This window comes from Homo sapiens, chromosome 5 (assembly GCF_000001405.40).
Source record: "Homo sapiens chromosome 5, GRCh38.p14 Primary Assembly".
NCBI lineage: Eukaryota > Metazoa > Chordata > Mammalia > Primates > Hominidae > Homo > Homo sapiens.
Genome location: NC_000005.10, coordinates 165243500 through 165248921, shown reverse-complemented (window position 1 = coordinate 165248921; position 5422 = coordinate 165243500).

Genomic DNA, 5422 nt, shown 5'->3' with positions numbered 1-5422 from the left:
AAAACTAAACATGAAACCCAAACAAAAAATTCCATATATAGATCCAAAGAAGATAGATATCAATATAGATTTTTTTAAAGGGTGTTTTAAATACAATTCTCCTGAGATGGACATGTCTGGATGCTTGATTTATTCTTTAAGCAAGCAGCTCAATACCTTAAGTATTGACTCCAGGTACTTTAAAAAAAAATATATATATATATATATATCCATGACAGGTGTCTACTATTTAGTTGCATTCAGAGGCAAGCCAAAGAGATACAATTGCTTCCAGTGACAAATGTAACCAATTTTATCTTCAGTCTTTGGTCCTTTTCTCTCTGATGTCCACTCTAGCTCTACTCCCTCTCACAGCCCACTGGCCTACCTTCCAGGCATGTTAGACTCTGAACAAATCCCCACCGATCTCTGTATAGCCTCTTGCTATTCCTTATGCCTGTTCTTTACATATTGAAACCCTGAGACTCTTTTAAGAAGGGATTTGTTTTCTCTTTCATTCCATGATTCCTAAATTGGAATTAGTTGCTCCTAAGTACCTGGCTCATATATCTTGATTTCCACCCTGAACTTACCCACAGCATATTGCATATAATAGAGAATTATTATATATTTTAATGTAGTAGATATTAAACTAAAAGCCAGTTAAAATTAAGGAGTAAATCTTTGAGCAAATATCATCAATACATCCTTATGTCTGCATGTAATTAATTGTAGAGAGAAAGCTAGTCAAACCTGAAAAAAATTTTCAAATATTAGCACACAGGATAAACTTATAAAATAAAATCTGTGATGCTTTAGTATTTATTTCTATTCTTTTAGAACCATAGATATCACAGGTGATTCCCATTCTGATTAACATAAACATGAAAACATTCACTAAGCCAACTGACTTAAGTAGCATACTTCTTCTTCCTTCCCAGAAAAGAAAACAAAAAGGTCAAAACAAGGAGTGAGTCCATGTGGGCAATGATGGACTGAGACTGACATCAAGGAAATTGAATTCTGTAACCTTGTGACCTCCAAAACTATGTTGGAAAACCAGAACTGGTGATTCTATTAGTGAGTCAACTCTCCTCTCTTTAAGTGTCAAAAGGGAAGTCTCCACACAGTAAAAGACCCCAAGACACGATGAACCTCCAGAACTCCTCAGCAGTTTAATTTGTATTCAAAAATGTCAGTGTAAATATTAAAAATTCTCTAGCAAATGTAAGACCAAAACAAGACACAATAAAAATGTTACATAATATAATTAAAATTCTTCTTGGTCATATATTTCATTTTACCTTGATTTATAGCTATCTTTATTTCTTACCCAAGTTGCAGCAAACATAACAACATATCTTGTACACTAAAAAGTTACATATTCTAAAAAAGATCCTTTTATTTAAAATACATTTAAATCTAAATTTGGAATTTCTACTGATCTTAAAGTCTGCTATTTTTTTTAAACTATAATTCATTGGCCTCAAAATATTACCACCTAACATATGTAGAGTTAAAAGAGGAAATAAATCTTATATATTTGTTCCATAAATATGAGGATGAAATATTGCCCCATAATGAGATTATATTCTCAAATTATATTATGACCTTTAAAAAAATTTCATACTAGCAGTTAAAGTACAATCCCACTGCTTATGATGATTTATTCCATCCAGAGACAATTCTGAAAATGGTGCTCTTAACATGGCACAGGCAGTATTTGCAATAATCCTTGCCTGCTCAGTCTACAGAGTTTTTTGCTGACCAAAAATAATCCCTCTCTTATAGATGATAGACAGATACACAAATACATAGATACATATAGATAGATGTATAAACATACATATACATATATACACGTACATGTGCACAAACACACACACACAGAATCTCTCTTCACACAGTTTTCAGACATTGTCTTTCATTTCAAATTCTTGAGGGATAACACCTCAATGTAACACCCATGTAGTGAAAAGCGGGGTAGGGGCTGCTAGATTTGAATCCCAATTGCAGCATTTATCTGTTTGAACAAATTATAAATTCTCTAAATCTTTTTCTCATGCATAATAATGCCTACTTTGCAGGATTAATCTAAAAACAGAGAAACCTTATTTTCAGTGAAAATACAGAATGTAGTGTGTAGTACAGAATAGAAGGTCAGCAAATATTATCATACCAAGTTTGATCTCACTAACTAGACAATATCCTTTTATTTATTCCTAGGTCTTTATCTTCCTTTATTTTCTGGCCCTTTTCTACTATGTTCCATCTTTTCTTATTCCATACCCTTTCCCTAACATGTCAAATAATGAGACTAAAAACAATTCTATTTAATTTTTGACAGCTTGTTTTACTCAAAAAACTTTGAAGAGTAAAAGAGGATGGGTTTACATGTTATGTTTCCTGAAAAAAAAAATGTGTTCTCTTGAATTTTCCAGTGATACCCTTTTTTATTTTTTTGGGAGCTTAAGTTTTACTAGATTTTTTGTGCACAGAAATAATCGAAGTTCACAATTTTAGGCTAGGGTATTTCTGTCAGCACCAGCAAACCTGGCATTGTTGGACTTCTTACAGGGGGGCCAGAAGCTGCAGTCTGTTCTCCCTCAGTACTCCTCTATCTTTGAGTAAACCCCACTGCTTCCTTGATAACCTGCCCCTCCACACTCCTCCTGTTTATTTATATTTTCATGTATTCATTCTATCAACAAACATTTTTGAAGAGACTTTTATGTGCCAAGTACAGTGCTAAACAGATGAGAAATAACAGGCATAGTCTTGAAGTTAGCTAAAGGAGCGAATAGACTCATGGAGAGAAAGCCAACTGTTCCACTTTAGTGCAGAGTTGTTAAAGGATATAACGGGGTAATTAAGTGACACCACAGGGACTTTTAGGGGATGCCCAACTTAGTGTTGTGGGGTTGAGGGGAGACTTCCCTAAAAAGTAACACTTGAGGTTGAGGGCTGTTAGCAGAAGTAGGAGAAAGCCAGGCAACTAGGGATATTTCCTTCTAACTTCTATCTCCTCCCATGCACGGATTATTCTGGTCTTGGCTGAGAGACTTCTCTTCCTAATGTTCTGCAGTCATCCTGGCTGACTTCAACATCCATGCAGAAGGCCCAACCAACACCCAAACTTCTATTTCACCATTTCCTCAACACCAGTGACCTTTGCCTGTTTTCTCTATCAAAATATGAACATGCCAATGGCAAACCCTTTTTCAGCCAAAATGTATTAGGATTTATGTAATTGAATTCTCTGAATATTAAGCTATGTTTATTTTCCTTCTCTGCCCCCCCCAAATTAACTTTTCTGATTTTTCTTATACCATTAAATTTCTTCATCTCAGAATCTCTGCTTTTAGAGGGAGAGGATCTCTTACTTCTTTGCCCAGTCCTTAAATGTTTCTTATGCTTAGAAATCTATTATACTTCTTCCAACTCACTCTACATATTTTCCAGAGAATGGATCAGTAGTGCTCTACATGCTGACATCTTCCAAATATTTATTTATAGCTGGGATTCCTCCCTTGAATTGTCAACCTCTAATTATATAAATTGCTTGGGTATTTCTCTTGCACATATCACTGGTGACTTAGAGACAATTTGTCTAACTTGAACTCATAATCTTCTTCCCTTCCCAACTTTGTTATACCTTACTTTACATCCTCAGTTGTTCCCTTTCTCTGAAAGATGTCACTATTGACCTTGTAGTTCAATTCGGAAATATATAACCTTTTCTCCCAATACTCATATGGAATTAATCATCAAGTTCTCCCAGGACTTGCCTATTAATATATCTAGAGGCCAGCTACTTCTCAGCAGTCCTGGCACTACTCTTTTAGTTTGAGTAACCACCCCTTTTTGTTAGTTTTGTGTCATTCTATTTGTAACAGGTCCATTTTTGTTCCCATTTATTCTTTACCTTTCTTGTAAGATCATTACAGTTCCCCACAACATTAACCTCAGCCTTGGCGATTTGGCTATCTTTGGTTACTGTAAAGAGAATTGGTATATATGGTTTTAAATTAGAAACTTGCTATCCCATGACTTAGCCATAGAGTTACCTTTTTATTGTAAGGTAAAACATAGATGCAGAAAACACAGACACAGATACAGAAAACAAAATATAATAAGTATGTGACTAAGAAAAAAAAACATTTGTAAAAAAAAACCGAGATCAAGAAATAGAATTAGACTAGGGACTTGAGGCCATGAGAAGGTGGCTGTCTGCAAGCCAGGAAGAAAGATCTCACCAGAAACCAACTGTGCTGGCACTTTAATCGTGGACTTTGAGCCTCCAGAACTGTGAGAAAATAAATTTCTGTTGTTTAAGCCACCCAGACTGAAGCATTCAGCTATGGCAGCCCAAGCAGATTGACACACATGGGCGGGTAGGTAACCAAAGCAGACTGTATGACTGTATTAGAGTATAGGGACATTGAGGGAGATACATGAACTCTATTTTTCTGGGCCAACCAGCTTTAAGAATCAAACTCTGGAACTACTAGAAGCCACTATTCCTGGCACATAGAAAAACCTGCTAATGTATAATAAATATATCAAAGCTGAGGGATGGTGATGAGTGGATGAGGGATAGTGATGAGTGGATGAGGGAGGTGAGGAGGAGGAGAGACAGAGAGAGAAGCAGATGCATTGTTTGAAATTCCAGATGCAGTCATGTCAGAAGCCACAATGCCCACTGGGTTTCTTAGTTACGCGAGGCAATAAATCCCCTTCCCTTCTCTGCTTCCTTCTTTAAATTTAATGATTCTTTCTTCTTATACATAATGATTCTGTTTTAATGAGGTCTTCCTCATATACCCTCAGTAAGAACATGAGTGAAGGCAGAAAATGAGCTCACAAGAGCAAGAGCAGTAGGCAGCTATTTGAGAAGGGTAGGTAAGCAGGCTTCAGAACATGCCCTTACATGGTATTTAGATTACTGAAACAAGGGGAGAGAATGGTGAGTGGGTAAAAAGAAATCAAAGATTCAACTAAGATCAGACTTTATGTCTACAAAAGATCATTTCTGGTAGTTCTCCAAATACATATCAGTATTATTTATTTAAATTACTTGAAACCCACTTCTTTAGGCATTGTTATTAAAGAGAAAAAGCTCCTTTGTCAGCATTCTTTACACCATTAATAACCTTCCATACCCTGTTATACTCTCCCTTGGTTAAGGCCACTAAATAATTGCTTTATTTGCATATTTGTACCATGTCCACCTCATTATGGATAATCAATGCACCTTATTAATAGCATCAGTATCAAAAAAGAGAGAAAAATCATATAATTTACCAATGACAAAACAAATTTACCAAGATCTGTGGTAATTTCCTTCTAATTCCTAAGTCAAAGCACTGACTTTGAGACAGTGCATATGGTTTTTAGACCTCTACAGGAGACAAGAAATTATAAAATTCACAGGCAAATTGTG